Raw genomic sequence first — 18,709 nt, 5'->3', positions numbered from 1 at the left:
AGCCAAGGGTCAAGTTCTATTTCTTTTTCTTTTATTACCTTGAAACCCTGTTCTCTTGTCTCTGGTGCCCCTGCACTTGAGAAGACTGTCTGTTGCTGGTCGGATGGTGGTTCCTTTGTGTGCCAGCTCTAGCTCCTTCCTGATCGCTATGTCTGATGGTGGTTCCTTTGTGGGCCGCTCCTTCCTGATTAACCTTTACTGTTTTGGAGTTTCCTTGTGTCCTGTCTTGGTAAGGACTTATTTTATTTTTAATTTTTGCTCCAAACTTACTGTGATTCCTGAATCTGAGAATTCCTTTCTCCAGCTAATCCTAAAAAATTATAAACCATATATAATTTACATTTGACTCTCTTCCATTCTCCCCTCTAATGGAAATAAGTTGTACCTTCTTATTCCCATGTCCCTTAAATCCCTTTCCTATTTTCTCTATCTTTCTGTCCTGCATTCCAGGGAATTTCCTCAGATCTGTCTTCCAACATACAGTGTTTCTCTTCAGCAGTGTCTAACCTGTAATCCATGCATTGTAGTTATAATGTTAAAGAGTATGGTTTTCACTTGAAGTTCTATTTTGTTCTTTTTCAGATCAACCTGCTGGGTTGTTCTTTTCTTAAATTGTTGGTTCCTACTTTAACACCTTCAATCATGATCAATGCATTATCCGATGGTTTCTAACACGTTTATTAAGGTCTCATGGGTCTAAGCCTGCTCTTTGATGTTTGCTGATTTGCTCATGGTAGTTTGTTGTCTGGTGGGTTCTATAATTCCAGATTATAAGCTCCTCATTGGTGGGGCTTTAGTTCTAGTTTTGTATGGCCCTGTTCTGAGAGTATTAACCTCAAGAGAGCTTTTGCCAGACACACTAGGCTGTCATTAAACTGAGACTATCTTCATGTCAATTCCTCACCCAGATCACTCATGTGTTTGAGCCTCAATTCTGGATGAGGCCCATGTTTCAAGCGTCTTCCCATTTTGAGTCCATATGGTGACAGACGAGATTCCTGTGGTGTGAGCACACCCATTTGCTAAGGGTGTGGTTGTTGAGGGTCCTGTGTTATGTGGGGGGCTCGGGTCCAGCTCTCTACCTCCAGCAAGGCAGGGTTTTCCCTGCTGGCCCCACATGGGCAGCAAAGTCCAAGACCCTGATTTTAGATGTAGGGAATCCTGTCGCCTGCCTTCCACCCAGGGCTTGAGCGGCTTCAGGCCGCACATCCCCCATTCCAGTTTCACTTTCTCCTTCAGCTTGGATTCCTGGGGATTTCCCTTAATTCTGTGAAAGGCTGACTGTGCCATTTGTCCAGCATTCTACGTGTCTGTGGAGGAAGACACTTCAGGTTATCTCCTTCTTCATATCACTGGAAACACACATGCCATGCAAATTACACAAAGGAAAACAGTGCAGAGGCCGCACTGTGCTTCATCTCACATCACATTGACAATTGCCTCCAAGAACCAACTGTGTGTTCTCCCTAATAAAGAAAGATAGCTGGGCACAGTGGCTTACACCTGTAACCCCAACACTTTGGGAGGCCAAGGCGGGCAGATCACTTGAGGTCAGGAGTTCAAGACCAGCCTGGCCAACAGGCGAAACCCCATCTCTACCAGAAATACAAAACTTAGCTAGATTTGGTGGCGCATGCCTATAATCCCAGCTACTCAGGAGGCTGAGGCAGGAGAATCACTTGAACCCAGGAGGCAGAGGTTGCAGTGAGCCGAGATCACACCACTGCACTCCAGCATGGGCCACAGAGCAAGACTCTGTCAAAAAAAAAAAAAGAAAGAAAGAAGGAAAGAAAGACATCCTACCGATGGCTGTCTAGAGTCAAAGATGAGCAGGTAATGATCACATTCCGCCGGGTTTCCACACTCACCTTTCTGTAAGCAGTCAAAGGGATCGCTGTGTCCAGAATGCTCTGCCTCTGGGAGTGCTGATGGGCCAAGGTCTGCAGCAGGTGAGCAGCGAGTGGGCCCTGACGGCTAATGCTGATGGCCTTAGGGAAGTCCAGGTGGTCCACGTGGCTGAGTGACGACAAGGCAGCTGCAGGGAGGGACAGATGAGAAGTCCCAGCAAGAAGAGTGACCCCGATCATCCACTCCCACCTCACCCTCCAAACCCTGGGAATGCCAGCGGGCATGTCATTTGGTCCCCATGCCGTGTGACTGGCACTGAGCTGGGAAAAGATGTAAAATATCTCTGATAGTCTCACCTCTAACTCTTCACCCTGAAAAGTGAAAACACTGTTTGACATATCAGCTCTCTGTTCTCTTCTCCTCCAAACTCCTCGTTTCAAAGCAATTGGAAGAGGAGTGGTGACCAGTCAACACTTGGTAATTGTGGTTGACTATGGAAGCCTGAATGTTCTCTTCCCTTCACCAACATTTTAGAAATTTCACTGCTCACAGGAAGGTCTGGAAGGTGGAGGAGGTAGACTGAGCCCTCCAGGCTCAGTTCCTTGTGAGCACGTTTGGTTGGTGAAGAGCTGGATATTAACTTTGTCTCGCACATAGACTGACCCCTCCAAGCTCCGTTCCTTGTGAGCACGTTTGGTTGGTGAAGAGCTGGACAATAACTTTGTCTCGCACATAGACTGACCCCTTCAAGATCCATTCCTTGTGATCACGTTTGGTTGGTGAAGAGCTGGATATTAACTTTGTCTCAGACAAGCAAGTCTTTCTGGTATTTTTGGTGCCATCACCTTGTCAGTTGTTTTGTTCCCCTTTTCTTGTATTATTGCTCATGTGCATATAGCCTGTGGGTTTTAGGAAGTGAAGCATCAAAACATTCTACTTTCAGTGAGCACCTTTAGAACTTCGGCATTTTCAAATAAGGTGCTATAGAATTCAGTGTTTCTCCTCTGCTTATGGAAGAAGACATGCATGTCTCCATCACTGTCCTAAGTAACCTTTACAGCACTTGCTGGAACTCTTTATTCTTCCTAAAAACTTCATCAGAAAATCGTAATGAGTACATCGTTGGCACAGAATAGAGAATGCTGCTGCTAAGAAAAGACCTGCTACTTGGGAGCGGGAGAAGCTGTCTATGCGTTGCCTGGCAACCGCCCCTCCTCATCCTTCTTCTGAAAGGTCTCCCTGTTAGAACCACTGTCGTCATCAGTGGAGTAAAAATGGTCCCCTCTGGGCTGCTTCTCCTGGGTCGGGTGCCAGCAAAGGAGTCTGGTCTCTGAGAGAATCTGATCATACCGTTTTGGCCATATGGGCTTTGTAGGTGACCATCAGGGTGGGGAGAGGTGGGTGCATGACCACTTAAACAAATGGGTCTGCTGCCACACAAAGCATAGAAATCGTGATACGAAACGGCTTTTGAAGGGATCTTACGGAAACCGCCACTCCCCAGGCTGCTGGAGGCTGGTGTGGATGTTGCTGCTGAGCCACCCCGATTCCCCCACCCAGGGCTGCTTGTCACAGAGCTGGGATGACAGGGGCTGCTGTTCACTTTAGAGATTCTGCTCTTCTCCTAGAATATGTTAGTGTGGTAGGAGACCTCTTCAGGGCTTAGTTACGTAAAGGTTGCATTTCATGAACTGTTTTCTTTCTCTTGCACCCTCTTTTCCTATGATCTGTTTGGAATCCAAGGTTGGTTTTCAGCTGAATTTTGCACACTAATGGAATTTTTAAGTAACTCATGGCTTAAACTATATTTCATATGTCAAAGGGATATGTTCGAAGCTAGAGTCAAATTCTTTTCTCATTGAATAAGGAATGTGTATTGATTTATATTAATAAAAAAATGTTGTAGAACAAATATTTGCAAATACATTTGTTCATATTGTTCAAATAAGTTATAAAAAGTAAACAGAAATATAGTTTTTTCCAACTTCCTTTTTCTGGTTATAATATTCCGATTTCTCTTCCTCATCAAAGGCTTAGAAGATATTTACTTTCTTTGTAAAGGTTAGCATTGGTTTCTGTGTTAAACTATCTATAGTTAAACTTTGATTATCCAAATGGAATGAGAGGATTTAATTATTGCTAAGCAGAGAGGTTTAAAATGGACGGGAAAAGAATTGGGGGAGTTTAATCTGTTTAGAATGATTGAGCATTATCTCTTCATCTTCCACGCCATTTCTCCAAAGTTCTCCAGTGTTTTCCATTCATCTATAAAGGTGATGACCGCAGATCCTGGTATAAAGAAGACACCTGAATAGTAAACTTTGTGTTTGATAAATAGCCATTTCAGGAATTTGAAATACCATGGGTAAATATTTGAAACTTCTAAAAGGCAGAAATCAGTAGAAATATATGGGTAGACATTTTAAACTTCTAAAAGGCAGAAATCAGTAGAAATATTATAAGACTGAATTAATTTTTCATTAGACTTGTTTTAATCGAAGTAGCTGCAGTCTGGTATTAAAATCATCACACTGTCAATTGTTGTTGTTGTTTTTTTTAACTGTCTGTAGACCAAAATTACAAGAAGAAGAGAAACACACAAAGGATATTTGGTAAAGGCAGGTGGTCTTGATGAATAATGTTCCTTTCATTAACATATTTCCCTTATTAACTGTGTAATTAATTGTACATAGCCAAGGGAAGCTATGGAAATTGCATTTTGAGATGTATCAAAGCTGACTTATGCTTCAGACTTCCATGCAATTTACCATTAATGAAGCCAGAGATGGAAGCCTCAAATCTATAATTATTACTTACTGTTTGAATGACAAGCAAAGAATTTTATCAGCAGAGTTTTAAATGAAAGGGGATTAGCAGCTAATGTTGAAATTGTTAATCTTTCTTATGAAAATAATTTTGAAGAAAATGTTTTAGTGGAAAGAGAGGGTTGGGGAAGTATTTGCCATTAAAATAGCGATTTCCTGATACTTCATGTGACTTTGTCTACATTTGACAGCAGGGTGCAAATATTTTTGAAAGTGAATGAATATTTTATAGGGTCCAGAGCTGCTCATGCATTCTGGGAATGGATTATGCAATAGTTCCAAATGTCCTGGCTGGGGTGAGAGACTGTAAGCTAGCCAGAGGAAAGAGCTGAGGCTAAGAAAATAAAATATAGGAGAAAATTATAGAAAATCCAAATATCCTGGCTGGGGTGAGAGTCTGTAAGCTAGCCAGAGAAAACAGCTAAGGCTAAGAAAATAAAATATAGGAGAAAATTCTAGAAAATCCAGATATCCTGGCTGGGGTGAGAGTCTGTAAGCTAGCCAGAGAAAAGAGCTGAGGCGAAGACAATAAAATATAGGAGAAAATTCTAGAAAAATGAAAATTGGTTTATTGTCCCAGATCTGTACCCTTCTCCCCCTCTGATTGTTCACTTGATTTTAGATGGTGAATGACAAATATTGGTGAAGAAAATCATTCCATGAAACACTGGTAACCATTTGTCCGAAACGCCTTCATGGCAGCACTGCCGTGGCTCAGTACATTGCACCTGCACTTCCAAAGTGAAGGTGACTGTTACCTGAAACCCATGTGCCTGGCACACATGACCAGCCTTGGACACAAGAGGCCTTTGATCAGAAACTGGGAGGCACTCCCACATTCCCACAATGAAATTCCGTGGGTGCCTGTACCCTGAGTTCATCCAACACATGGTTACTGATCATGTAGGGTGTACCAGGCTATGTCAGACGTTAGAGACACCATGAAGAGCAAACAGTTAGCTTATGGGGAGTGCCTAACGCACACCTGCCATTTACATCTTTGTCCTCATGATTCTTCCCACTGAACCAATGGCACTGACTCAATATACGTGGCGTTGGCTGGTTAGAGCCCGTGTCGCTGTGGACAGGAGAAAGGACGTCCAGGGAGATGGACCAGTGTGCCGTCCTTCACGTGTGTTCTGGACTTAACGTCACACTCGAGACATGCTGGCTGGTCAGAACATCTGGGACCTGGAGGCCTGTTAGGTTCTTTAGAAAGTTCTGGGCTCCTCCCACACGCGGTGTCCAAGGACAACAGGCAGGTGACCACGTCCACTGCAGATGTGCAGTTTTCATCTCTTAAAAATTCTGGTTTTCTCAAACTTGCTGTCTCCCTGGTTTCAGTTTGAAATGGATTTAATGGGCTAGAACCCCTGTCAGCCTACGTCAGCCTGTGAATCTTTCACAGAATTGTTTTGTGTTCTTTGGAAAGCAGTTCATGATTGCAGGAGTCATTTAATAACTGGAGCCCGGGGGGTCTGGAAGAGGTCGTACGGCCCCTCTGACCTGTGGGGGATAATTCACTCCCAGGACCATGCCCGGTCGCGATGCATTGACAACGCAGCCCTGTGTGCACACAGGCACCCGGATGCCTTGGTCTGTGTTTCAGGAGTTGCCTCATCTGTGGACAAGCACATCACGGCGTCCCAGGTTAGGTTAGTGATTCGGTTGTCTTTACATTTTAAATTTGGGGTTTAGCTATGGGCAGTTAATTTTCTATGGTACTTTGAGCAAACTTACTTTGACGAAAGCTGAATAGTGCCATTCAATATCTGAATGTCTTGCCCATGTAACAAAAGCATGAAGGCTATTGGAAATATCAGAGTTGTGGATAGAATTTTTCAGGTTTTTATCCAGACTGTTAACTTCAGGTAACTTAAGGGTAGGTATGACCTTGCTTCTCAGATCAAATCATTAGGGTCTTTCCTTGCTGTGGTTCTGTGAGGGGTGAAGAGTTTAAACAATGACAAAATATTTTGCAAGCTAAAGAGCTGAAGACAACTTAGGTGTGTGAGGAAGGGCAGGTCAGATGAGCAGACGGGAATCCTAGGACGTGTTGCCTGCAGGACGCGGTGCACCCTGCCCAGTTCTCTCATTCGCCCGCCTCCACTGCTGTTCCCCACGCGCTGTTCCCCATGCCACAGCCACTGCCTGCTCTTCCATGGTGGGCTGCAGCAGTCCTGACTTGCATCCTGCACTGCCACCTGGGAACCAGGGTGGTCTTCCAAAAGCGCCACCATCAACCACCATCACAAGCATCTTTGGCTTAAAACTCATGAAAGCTTCCCGTGGCTCTTAAAATAAACTGCTGAGTCCTTGCAGGCCAACAGCTCCTGGTCTGCCGGACACCGTTGCCCTCACATCCATTCCTTCTCTGCAGCCCCGACCTTCCCTCCTCCCGGAGTGGCCACGCCCTCCTGCCCTGGGCTCCAGCCTTCACTGCCCTTCCCTGTAGGACCCCACCCCCACTCAGGCCCTGCCCAGGTCCTTAGCATCGGGGACTCGGCCCATGGCTCTGAGAGTTTACCCTTCAGAGGGGCCCCCTCAGTGCCATCCCAGGTGCACCCCGTCCCCACACCCAGGCTCTGCGTCGTGACTCTTGTCCGCATCTTCTTACTACTCACTGTTGTCTGAAATCACTTTTTAAAGCTGTGTTTATCTACTTGCAGATGGTCTGCCCTCCAGCTAAAGAAATTAATGAGGCCAGGCGTTGTAGCTCATGCCTATAATCCCAGTACTGTGGGAGGCCAAGGCAGGCAGATCACCCGAGGTCAGGAGTTTGAGCCCAGCCCGGCCAACATGGTAAAACCCTGTCTCTACTAAAAATACAAAAATTTCGTTTTCGTATGATGGTTTGCACCTGTAGTCCTAGCTACTTGGGAGGCTGAGGCAGGAGGATTGCTTGAACCCAGGAGGTGGAGGTTACAGTGAGCTGAGATCATACCACTGCACTCCAGCCTGGGCAACAGAGTGAGACTCTGTCTCAAAAAAAAAAAAAAGAAAAGAAAAGAAACTAAAGAAATGAGCCACATGAGGACAGGGTCTTTGGCCAGCTAACTACTGTGCTCCCGAACCTAGGTCATCCCTGGCTTATAGGACGTGCTTAATCAAACTGGATGACTGAAGGGACAGATGACTAGACCACCACAACATCGGCAGGAATCCGACAGAAATGACAGCAGCTCTTAGCCCTCTGTCCCAAAACCAGATGAGGCATTCACATTTCACTTAGAATGCCAAGCAGACCTCTTTTGCCCTAAATTTAAATATTAATAGCTGTACATTTATGGAAAACATAGTATAATTCTCTGAATTATTTTCCATTGCTTATAAGCATTCATCTCTGTATTTTACCTATGTTCACATAACCTTAATTTTTAAGATGTTAAATAAGATAATAAGATTCATAAAATTGTTCATTTAAAATTCTTTGCGCTTCTCTGAGAATGACAGCCTGAAATACAAAGTGATGCCTCTGTCATCATCCCCATTATTAAACAGCTTCTTTCTTAGTCTTTCTGCAGGTGACCCCTGTCACCCCCTCCTACGCACACTCCCTAATATGATATCTTGCTAAAAAATGCCCAACGTAAAACAATCCATCAATCGTATGAAAGAACAAGACTTTCCCCTACTTAGTAAGAGTAGGTGGTAAGGAAAAAATTACTTATCTTTTTAAGTTTATTAATTAGAACATTTCTAGAACACAATGTGTTCACTATTAACATCTTCCATTGGGGTTTTTGTTGTTAAGTCTTTATCAAATTGTCATATTTTTCTGTAAATGTGTAACAGAAGTTTAGTGGAAGTCATAAACTGAAATCGAGGATCACCAGGCGTTGGTGCACCAGGCCACCTTTCCACGCATCGCAGGTCTTCATGCAGTCCTTCTAGAGGTGAGGCAGAGACTGGGCCGGCTGTGGACTCCAGGAAGTACCCTGCAGGTCACCTGGGCATTGTGTAAGAACTCCTTTGTCAGTGTGATTTCTTACAACTCTGGACTTTGTTATCGATTTGGAACATCAAAAGCCAAATTATAATAAAAATACACTAATTAAAGTTTCTACTCAATCAAGATAGAGCCAGTTTTCATGTCCTCTTAACACACCACTTTGCAAAGAGTTAACCTTCCTTTCCCTTTGCTCTTCGGAAAGTACGTAAGGTCTGTGATCATGTCCCAGTGCCTCTATTAGAGGCAAGGAATCTGTCCTCTTACAGTGTTTTTCTAACAGGACTTTGAAAAAAGCATGTCATTTTCTTGACAGCCTTATCTGAAGGGCATTCTTAATTCTCTCTTTTTTTTTTTTTTTTTGAGACGGAGTCTCGCTCTGTCGCCCAGGCTGGAGTGCAGTGGCACAATCTCGGCTCACTGCAAGCTCCGCCTCCCGGGTTCACGCCGTTCTCCTGCCTCAGCCTCCTGTGTAGCTGGGACTACAGGTGCCCACCACCACGCCTGGCTAATTTTTTGTATTTTTAGCAGAGACGGGGTTTCACCGTGTTAGCCAGGATGGACTCGATCTCCTGACCTCGTGATCCACCCGCCTCGGCCTCCCAAAGTGCTGGGATTACAGGCGCCCGCCACCACGCCTGGCTAATTTTTTGTATTTTTAGTAGAGACAGGGTTTCACCGTGTTAGCCAGGATGGTCTCGATCTCCTGACCTCGTGATCCGCCCGCCTCAGCCTCCCAAAGTGCTGGGATTCTTAATTCTCAGTGAGTGAATTTATTTTTCAATGATGAAAAAGTTTTAAATAAAGCAGATAGTTCAGTAGCGTTCCCGGTCTCAAAACCAACACGCACCACACGTTGTTTCCCCTTCTACGCTTTGTTCCTGCCGCTGCTACTTCACCTTCTCCACCCGAACTGCATACCAACTGGGGACTTTCTCCGGAAGATTCCATTTTGAAGTATTTGAACTTTTCTCCACTACCTTAATGGTTTATAATTTTCTGTTACTCCACAGTTTGATTGGTAACAAGGCAAAGAATGGAAATGGATTTCTAAGTCACATTAAGACGCAGGGAGAACAGTTTTCAAGGGTCTCTGGGCTTGCCAGAGATTCTAGGTGGTCCTCAGAATAGGTCAGCTGGAGACAAAACTCTCAGAGAAAGAGCTTGGAATAAATGGCATTAATTCACATCCATCAGGGAAGCCAGTTGTGGTGCCCACAGGAGGAGGCTTTTGCCAGTTTCATCTGTGTTGACCACTTCCCAGTTCCCTGCGGTAAGGGAAGCATATGACTTACTGCAGATACGTGTGGGAATGCCTCCTCCTTACAAACAAGTTGTCAGGAAAGCAGTTTTTAAAATGTGATCAAAAGCGAGAAGACCCCATGAATGGTCTTTCACACACTCTTGTTAATTCCTTGGGTCCCATTTCTACTTCTTTTTGGCTTTGTACGGATGACCCAGAGGCTGAATTCCAAAACCGTGTGTTTGCTTCTCCCGAGCAAACTCCACCCTGGCATGCAGGCACACTTCGAGTTGGCTGCCATGGGCCTGTGCCTTTTGGTAATGTGTGCATATCTGCCCTGCATCTCAAGTTGCTTGTTTGGAGAGCCGGAACAATGCCTGTTTCAGCTGTTGAGTAAGACCCGTAATTCCATGGCAAGTCAAAGGTGCTGCCGTGACGGGCACACGGTGTGTTAGAGGAGCGGGATGGTGAAGAAGCCGGTTCACTCCCTGCCGCCTCACGTTGTGGGCATTGCTTTCTGAGAGTGAGATGGCAAGTTGAATATGGTCGTATGGGTCGGGATTCCTGTTTCAGGAAGAGCTTTCTTAAACTAAGAAATAGTGAAACTATCTTCTGATCCTTTAACCATTATCTGTTCTTCTTTGTGTTCACATGTACTACTTTGAATTTCTAATTTTAAATATTTTAACATTCCTGCTGCATAATATTAACAAATAATATTTAAAATATGCCAGATGCAGCAATCTACAGACAATAAAATACCTTCTCATCAAGGGTTTGCTGCTCCCGAAGCCCCCATAGCTGTGTGTGCTGAGCCAGGACAATCAACCTCATCGAACTTCTCCTTTCATCTTTTCACAGTTTTGCTTGGAATTCAATTGTCCTACTTTTGGAATTCAAAAATTTAACATGAATATTTCCCGTTCATGTATTAATGAAGACAGGTGACTGTGTTTATTTTTAAAGAAAGAAAAGGTCATCATTTCCCCAAGTGGCAGTGGAAGCAGCTTAGTCCTTGCTTTTAAAAGCATTACTCTAACTTGTGACTTCAACACACAAACCTGTGGTCTCGTCACAAGAAGGAAAATGTAAAGGGATTCTATTATTCGTTTTAACAAAAGGTTTGATTGTAATGTTCAGTAAATTAAAGGGCATTGTGCTGCAATAGGCGCCATTGTAGAAAAGAGAAGTATAGCCTTCCCAGTAATGACTGGGTTCCCCAAAGCCCAGCTTTCTTTAACACGCCTTGTTCTACAGTGGGAAGAAGTCTCCACTGCTGGCAGCATCGTTGTAGGAACGAAGTTTCACCAGGACAGTTTCCACTCGTCCCATATCCGAAGACCCACGGAGTGATGATGGGCGCCTCCAGTCATCCGTGGGGACTCACTTTCCACTGCACGAGTGGTTTGATTGATGAGAAATAATGCCAGATGGACCGGCTTTTGCTCATTTTTAAATAGTCCACTGAGTTTTAGGAGTCCTTAGGACTCCTTAGGAGTTTTAGTATTGCATGGTGGGAGTTTATTCTCATTATTATTTTTAATAATAATAATAAATCATCTTGCACCTCTCAGTATCTCACTTCTTCATTGTTACAGCCAACAGATAGATGCCAAAATAACCTAATTTCTGTGACTCTGAATGGAGCTGAAATAGCACTGACCTGCTCCAGCCTTTCTTCTGCCTCCCCATGGGTTCTGCGGTGTCTTTGGCAGCAGGGTCTGCAGGAACAGGTGAATCAGCATTGGCTGACCCAGGATCCCAGTGCCTGTGGACGGGATTCACATGGAACCACATCTGGACCCTTTACAAGTCTCCAGATGCACTACCCCAGTACTCAGAGGTGGCAGCTGCACTTCCTCCTGGTGCCAACAGGAAGGCGAGCATGTTTCGTGTGAGCGGGTCCTGCATCAGATGCACACGGGATGCTGGTGTGCTCTTCCCACCGGAGAAATTGTCCTTGTTAACTAGCAGTTTAGTGTCACATAGTCTCTTAAACAGGCATTTCCTAGGATTTCCTCTCCTGAAGACAGGCCATGAAATATTTCCCTCTTCAAAAAAGAAGTGAACAGAAGAGAGTGGACATGTTGTATTTCCTTAAACAAGAGGATAAGAGTCTCCCCAGAACCGCAGTGCAGCCACAGAGCGTGGGAGGGAACTCAGGAGTCTTTCCAGTACCCTCTTCCTCTACTGAAACACTGAGACCGTCCCGCACCCCATCCCCGGGCACACACCTTCTACTGTGTCTCCCATATTCACGCATCACCCCTCAAAACCTCCTTGGGAACATAGACTCTGGCTCTCCCCTGTGAGCTGTGATGACCAGGTTACGAAGGGGTGCACCCGTGGGGCTCAGTCAGATGGCCTGACTTGCCGGAAGGCTCCACGCCAAAAAGTAGCTGTGGGAGGGACCCACACCGTTCTGTGTAAGACTGTTAAGAACTCTATCAACACAAAGTCCAGTGCCTTCCCAGTGTGTTCATGTGCGTTCCTGTTCCACAGAAGCTCCTTTCCATGTTCATCTCTGCGAGTGACAGGGTGGTTCCTCTCCTGAAGAGAAGGTGCTCTTGCAATCGTTAACAGACACTGTTGTGTTCTGGACTGTCTGTGCTCCGTGTTCCTAGAAATCAGCCCCTTGACCTCAAGGTGTTGACCATTTGACCGGAAGACGGTGCTGACGACATTTGTGCTATGTAATACATTGTGAACACATTCTCCCTCAAAGTGTTCATGGCAATCACACTTTTGTTACACAAATTTTGGGGTTCTGTGTATAATGATTCCATTAAATGTGGAAGCCAGTTGGTTTGCCTGACACATGGAGGCTGTTTCCTCCAAAACCCGTCTAGCAGCACCCAGTCTTGTGACCCAGTGACTGTCCTTAATGCTCCAACCCTAAATGGTCTCGTAGGATGAGCTAGAAAACACCATGAGACAGGGACTGGCAGGATGGATTCAGAAACGGGAGAAGGATGACAGGGGAAACCTTAGATTGAGTTCATATCTCTAACAAAGTAGATTATGTGAGCGCTGATGGTGTCATTCTCAAAGGGTGAGAACGCGAAAAAGAATGCAGCCACATCTTCAGCTGCTGTGGTGTGGATGTCGTGTGCTCTGGGATCTACGTCAGATAGTGAATGTTGGCAACACCCTTGGGAAACCCACTTCCTGAGTCCCCGTAGCTTTCTCCATGAATGGTTTGATCTAGGAATTCACTCTTCCACAAGCACATCATGTCTAGGCCCTCAGGAAGTATGAGAATTTGAGAAGGTTGGAGACACCTTTTCACTCAGGGCTTATCTAGAAACAGCTTAAGTAAAATTCCCTTAATGGAGTTTAAAAATATGAAAATGTCAGACTGAGTTCTCCCAGCCAAGAGCCCTTCAAAACCCAAAATTATAGAGCAAGCAGCTCTAAAAGACGAAAGACACACCTCCAAACGCTTCCTAAGGATCAGGGAACAGACAGCAACTCCAACTTCCCTAAGCACTTCAGCCTGCATCGACTGAGATTCACCACCAATTCTTCGCTCCCTGTTTTCACTCTTCATGGATTTCCTGATGTGAGCACGCATTGTGGTGCAATCCCGCCTTCACTGGCTCACTCCCTCTGGTATTGTCAGCCTCAGTCAGCTCATTCTAGAGCTTTCTTCATAAAGCTTCAACTCAGAGGCACTGACGGAGAGCCCAGAGCAAGGAGCTGTGTGAAGTGGGACACGGTGTGAGAAGGGGTCCCTGACCACCAGGAGCTCACGCCCCGGAGGAGACCCAGCTGCAGGTGCGGTGCACACTGGTGCCTGGAGGCCACTGAGAAGGCTCCAGGGGAGATGGAGCACCCCACCTGGGACCTGGACTGTGGAGAATGAGGGAGATGTGAAAAAAGGAGAAGAGTTGTGGAGGAGACTTGTAGAGAAGAGCTCTCTGAACTGTTGCCCTTCCAAATTTATACGACTGCTGTTAGGTTCAGGTTGTTACAGGAACACTCAATGAGCTGACACCTGTCTGTCATGAGTTACAGTGATGTTTGCTGGGCAACCCCAGAAAGGAAGATGGCAGCAAGGTCATGTATAGTAAAACATTCCAAGTTCCTTATGCTCCTTTTTGGAGAAGTTCTTCCAAGTTTCAGAAGATTCAAAGGCAGTGTTTTGGATGCCCATCATCAAAATAAAATGTTTACCTATAATATAAATCACTTGTAGAGATTTCCAGATTATGCATTATTATTCCACAGATATTGGCTGAGTGCTTGCTGCCTGTGCTGAGCAGCTGAAACACAGTCCCTGCCCTAAAAAAATTAATCTCATGAGAAGAATCAGAGCTTGAAACCCACAGTTAAAGCAACAGGAAGAATGTGACGAATGCCACAGAGACGTATGTTTGAAGTAGTAACTGTTTGATGTGGGGGGTGGGTTATAGGGAAGAAAGATCATGGGGTGGGGTAGGTAATGGGCATGTCCTGACCGGACTCCTGGAGGAGGAAGTGTTGTCTGAACTGCACCTTGAAGTCTGGGTCGGTTCATTACAGAAAAATCAGCACAAAATGTAGAGAAGGATGGCGGTGGGGACGGGGCAAAGGCTGAGAAGCAGTCTTATGGGATAGAAAGTATCAGATTAGTAAAAGGAAATTCAGAAAAAGGACAATGCTAGTCTAGGCACCCTTGGTAATTTTTTTAAATAGGTTATATTTTGCACCAGAAACGCCAACCTGGTCGTTCAGTGAAAAAGCAACTGGAAAGGGGAAGCGATGGTAAGAAGATCAGCGAGAAGGCTGCAGTGACGGGCCAGGAGAAAACCCACAGGGCATTTCAGAGGCCAGGCTCAGGCTTTGGTGCTGCCACTGGCTGCTGGGGGCTGTGGACCAATTGCTTACCTTCTCTAGGCCTTGGTTTCCTTATCTGTAAGATGTGAGCCTCATCTCTGCATTTTTTCACTTTAAAGCAGTAAATTGTATTCTGTTGAGGATGTCCAAAGCTGAAATGAAGGTACTCAGCACTGGGGGAAAAGGTTGCCTTACAGTTTGCTGTGGGCCCTGGGGTTATTCGTTGCCATTCTGCTTATCTTCATTTTCTTTTCTTTTCTACATATGCTATTTATGTAACAAAAGTTGCAGTGCCTTAAGAAACTAAGCCGTCCCACCACCACACTCTCTCACACATGCACTCATCTATAAAATAAAAGAATTTAAATGTCAAGGTTTTTTTTCTGAGCTAACTTTTTTATGATTTTTTTCCATTTATTGGGGTACAGGTGGTATTTAGTTACATGAATAAGTTCTTTAGTGGTGATTTGTGAGATTTTGGTGACATATCACCTGAGCAGTATACACTGCACCATATTTGTTAATCTTTTATCCCTCGCCCCCCTCCTTCTCCTCCCCTCAAGTCCCCAAAGTCCATTGTATCTTTCTTATGCCTCTGCATCCTCATAGCTTAGCTCCCACATATTAGTGAGAACATATGGTTGGGTTTTCCATTCCTGAGTTACTTAACTTGGAAGAATAGTCTCCAGTCTCATCCGGGTCACTGCAAATGCTGTTAATTCATTCCTTTTTATGGCTGTGTAGTATTCCATCATATGTATGTACCACAGTTTCCTTATCCTCTCATTGATTGATAAGCATTTGGGTTTGTTCCACAATTTTATAGCTGTGAATTGTGCTGCTATAAACATGCATGTGCAAGTATATTTTTCGTATAATGACATCTTTTCCTCTAGGTAAATACCCAGTAGTGGGATTGCCGGATCATATGGTATTTCTACTTTTAGTTCTTTAACAAATCTCCACACTGTTTTCTATAGTGGCTGTACTAGTTTACATTCCCATCAGCAGCGAAGAAGTGTTCCCTGTTCACTGCATCCACACCAACATCTACTGTTTATTGATTTTTTGGTTATGGCCATTCTTGCAGGAGGAAGGTGGTATTGCATTGTGGTTTTGATATGCATTTCCCTGATCATTAGTGATGTTGAGCATTTTTTCATATGTCTGTTGGTCATTTGTATATCTTCTTTTGAGAATTGTCTATTCATGTCCTTAGCCCACTTTTTGATAGGATTGTGTTTTTTTTTCTTACTGATTTGTTTGCTTAAATGTCAGTTTTAAAAACACCTATAGCTAAATGCCCACTACCAGGGAAAAGCCACAAATACTGTTTAAATTACATGTTAATTTCCTAATAATTCCAGAAGACGTCTGAGTAGAGTTGCTATACTTGTCCAAGTTCACATGCAGGATGACCACAGTATAGACGGCCCCCAACTTATGATGGTTTGACTTTACAGTGCAGAAGCAACACGCATTAAATAGAAACTGAACTTCAAGTACCCATGCAACCATTCTGTTACTCACTTTCAGTTCAGTGTTCAATGAATCATGTAAGATATTCAACACTTTATCCTCAGTAGGCTTTGTGTGAGATGGGTTTGCCCAGCAGCAGAGGAAGGTAGGTATTCTGAGCATGTGTAAGGCAGGCTAGGCTCAGCTGTGACACTCAGTAGGTTACCTGTGTTCAATGCACTTTTTTTTTTTTTGAGACGGAGTTTCACTCTGGTCACCCAGACTGGAGTGCAATGATGCGATCTCGGTTCACTGCAACATCCGCTTCCCAGGTTCAAGCGATTCTCCTGCCTCAGTCTCCCGAGTAGTTGGGCTTAGAGGCGCCCGCCACCATGCCCGACTAATTTTTGTATTTTTAGTAGAGACAAGGTTTCACCATGTTGGCCAGGCTGGTCTCGAACTCCTGGCCTCAGGTGATCCACCCGCCTCAGCCTTCCAAAGTGCTAGGATTATAGGCGTGAGCCACCGAGCCCGGCCTCAATGCACTTTCAACTTAAGAAGTTCTTGGGCCATAACCCATCATAAGTAGGGGAGCATCTGTACTAAGCTCCCGTGGTACCTTTTGGTTTTGCTTTCATTGTTTAAAACATTACTTTGCTATGAAGGCCTAGCTTCCCCACAGACTCACAGATGAAAAGCATCTTATCTACAAGCCATGAAAGAGAAAAAAGACTCCTAAGATGTAGTTGGGGGATATTTCATCAGTTTAATATCACAAAGGATGTTTCATAAAAAATATTGATAGAAGAATACAGAACAGATCAAATTGAAATGAGCAGAACGGGACAAACACAGCCCACTGGAGTGGCGTGTGCAGAGAGATGTCAGCTCTATCTCAGTTTTAATAGAGTCACGTGCCTCTGCAGATGACTTCATTCTCCGTGAAAAAACATCGCGTCAGTATCTACCTCTTCCTCCCTCCTACCACCCAACCTTGGGCCACACAGGCTCAGTTTATATTTTTGCCATAAATTTAGAAATTCAAGAGAACTTAGAGTGTAATTTTGCTTCCTATAGTTAAGATAAATGTGAGAATTTAAATAGCTGTAGTTTATACGAATTAAGATAATATCCAGTGCCTCTTTTGCAGATAATATTTTCGATTGGATTAAACCTGCTAGGGTTCATCATTTTAGAACCCATCATGTTTTACTGAAGGAAGCCCATTTGTTTGTGATGGATTTTATGAAAAGAGCATTTTTCAAAGAAAAGCTAGGACCCAGAATGATTTTGCCAGGAACCATTTTCGACCTACCTATTTGTAGAACTCTACGTAAGCCCAACTTGAGAAAAGTAGCCACAGAAACAGACTGGGACTATCCTTTCACCATAACTATCAACCTCCCAGCTTCCCTCACACACCAGATTTGGGCTAGATGAGCTGGTCAGTATTTTCACAAAACTTAAATATTATATCATCCAAAAATGTTTTTCCTATTAGGGTAACTTTGGTACAAAAATATGAATTTGATGTTCCATAATGATTGTCTCAAAAGAAAGAATGTGTAGCATTTCCTAGATTGAGCCATTTGAATTTTGCCTAATTTCACAACTCGAGACATCTCTGTGGGGTGCTTCTTCCATGCACAAGGAAACCACGAGGCTTCCTGGGTGTCGGGGCTGGTGACGGGAGTAGATGAACTCGTTCGCTTTGGCTCAGAGCAGCCCTGATGTTTCTGTTCCTGGCGCAGGTGTGCTCCCAAGGCTCAAGGTGTGGTGGGGGAAAAGCGTTCGCTGCGTGGAGCAGGCAGTCGGTGCGGCTTCTCAACGGCACTGGAGTCCCTCTGCTTTTCCCAACTAGCTCAAGCAGGGCCATGGTGGGGGTGACAGTGACAACCTGGGACCTCCCAACAGACGGCCTTAGAGTGCCCACCCTGAGCCAGGCGATTGTCCCTCACCACCACACCCACCCAGATGCGGGGGTGTCGCGCAAACAGCACAGGTGCCCGATGCACCTGCTCCCGTGTGAGCTGGGCCAGCACAGCAGGGTGTGTGTTTGCTGCATGGGTTCAGGTTGGCTGTGGTCAAAACTTCCACTAGACGGCACGATGACCTGAGATTCCCGCCTCGCCGTGTCCAGCCCTCCCTCCCTCTGTGTCTCTTTCTCTACCTGTCTCCTGGAACGGGCCCCAGTGGGCAGGGAGGGACCATCCCAGCTCCTCGGATCAATCGAAGGGGATGTCAGGGGGTGGGCAGAAGGTGAGAAGGGCTTGGACCCCGGGCCTGACATTGGAATGCGTGGCCGCTTTGCAGCAAAGGACCATGTGTACACATGCATGCTTTATTTTCTCGTGTGGACACACTTGGAACCTGTGTCTACACATGACACACAGTACCTTGCAAATCCACAAGCAGAGTGACAGCAGACGAGGCCGTCACTTCCTGTGGTGCCATAGTGCAGCTGGGTTTGGTCCTTTGAAATGTTCTTTCTTAAAATCAGGGCTTGTTCTCAACGGTACAGATGAATAAGAACCGAGTGGGCTGTGCTGGCGGCATGGGGGTTTTTGT

At 45.0% G+C, this 18,709-nt stretch overlaps 1 protein-coding gene across 10 annotated transcripts in view, besides 2 other annotated features; it reads left to right on the top strand.

Annotated features, from left to right (window-relative positions):
* PTPRN2 (protein tyrosine phosphatase receptor type N2) overlaps window positions 1-18,709 on the top strand; it is a 1,048,768-nt gene that overhangs the window by 947,007 nt on the left and 83,052 nt on the right. The gene's annotated exons all lie outside the window — the stretch shown is intronic.
* Window positions 17,590-18,090: an enhancer, noted in NCBI's record as "H3K4me1 hESC enhancer chr7:157415419-157415919 (GRCh37/hg19 assembly coordinates)". NCBI's record gives its function as "activates a minimal SCP1, AML or CMV promoter by ChIP-STARR-seq in primed H9 embryonic stem cells {active_cell/tissue: H9 hESC(primed)}" and the evidence as "EXISTENCE:reporter gene assay evidence [ECO:0000049][PMID:30033119]".
* Window positions 18,091-18,591: an enhancer, noted in NCBI's record as "H3K4me1 hESC enhancer chr7:157414918-157415418 (GRCh37/hg19 assembly coordinates)". NCBI's record gives its function as "activates a minimal SCP1, AML or CMV promoter by ChIP-STARR-seq in primed H9 embryonic stem cells {active_cell/tissue: H9 hESC(primed)}" and the evidence as "EXISTENCE:reporter gene assay evidence [ECO:0000049][PMID:30033119]".

The sequence above is a fragment of the Homo sapiens genome, chromosome 7, assembly GCF_000001405.40.
Source record: "Homo sapiens chromosome 7, GRCh38.p14 Primary Assembly".
NCBI classification, from domain to species: Eukaryota; Metazoa; Chordata; class Mammalia; order Primates; family Hominidae; genus Homo; species Homo sapiens.
This window is presented reverse-complemented; position numbering and strand designations above follow the sequence as displayed.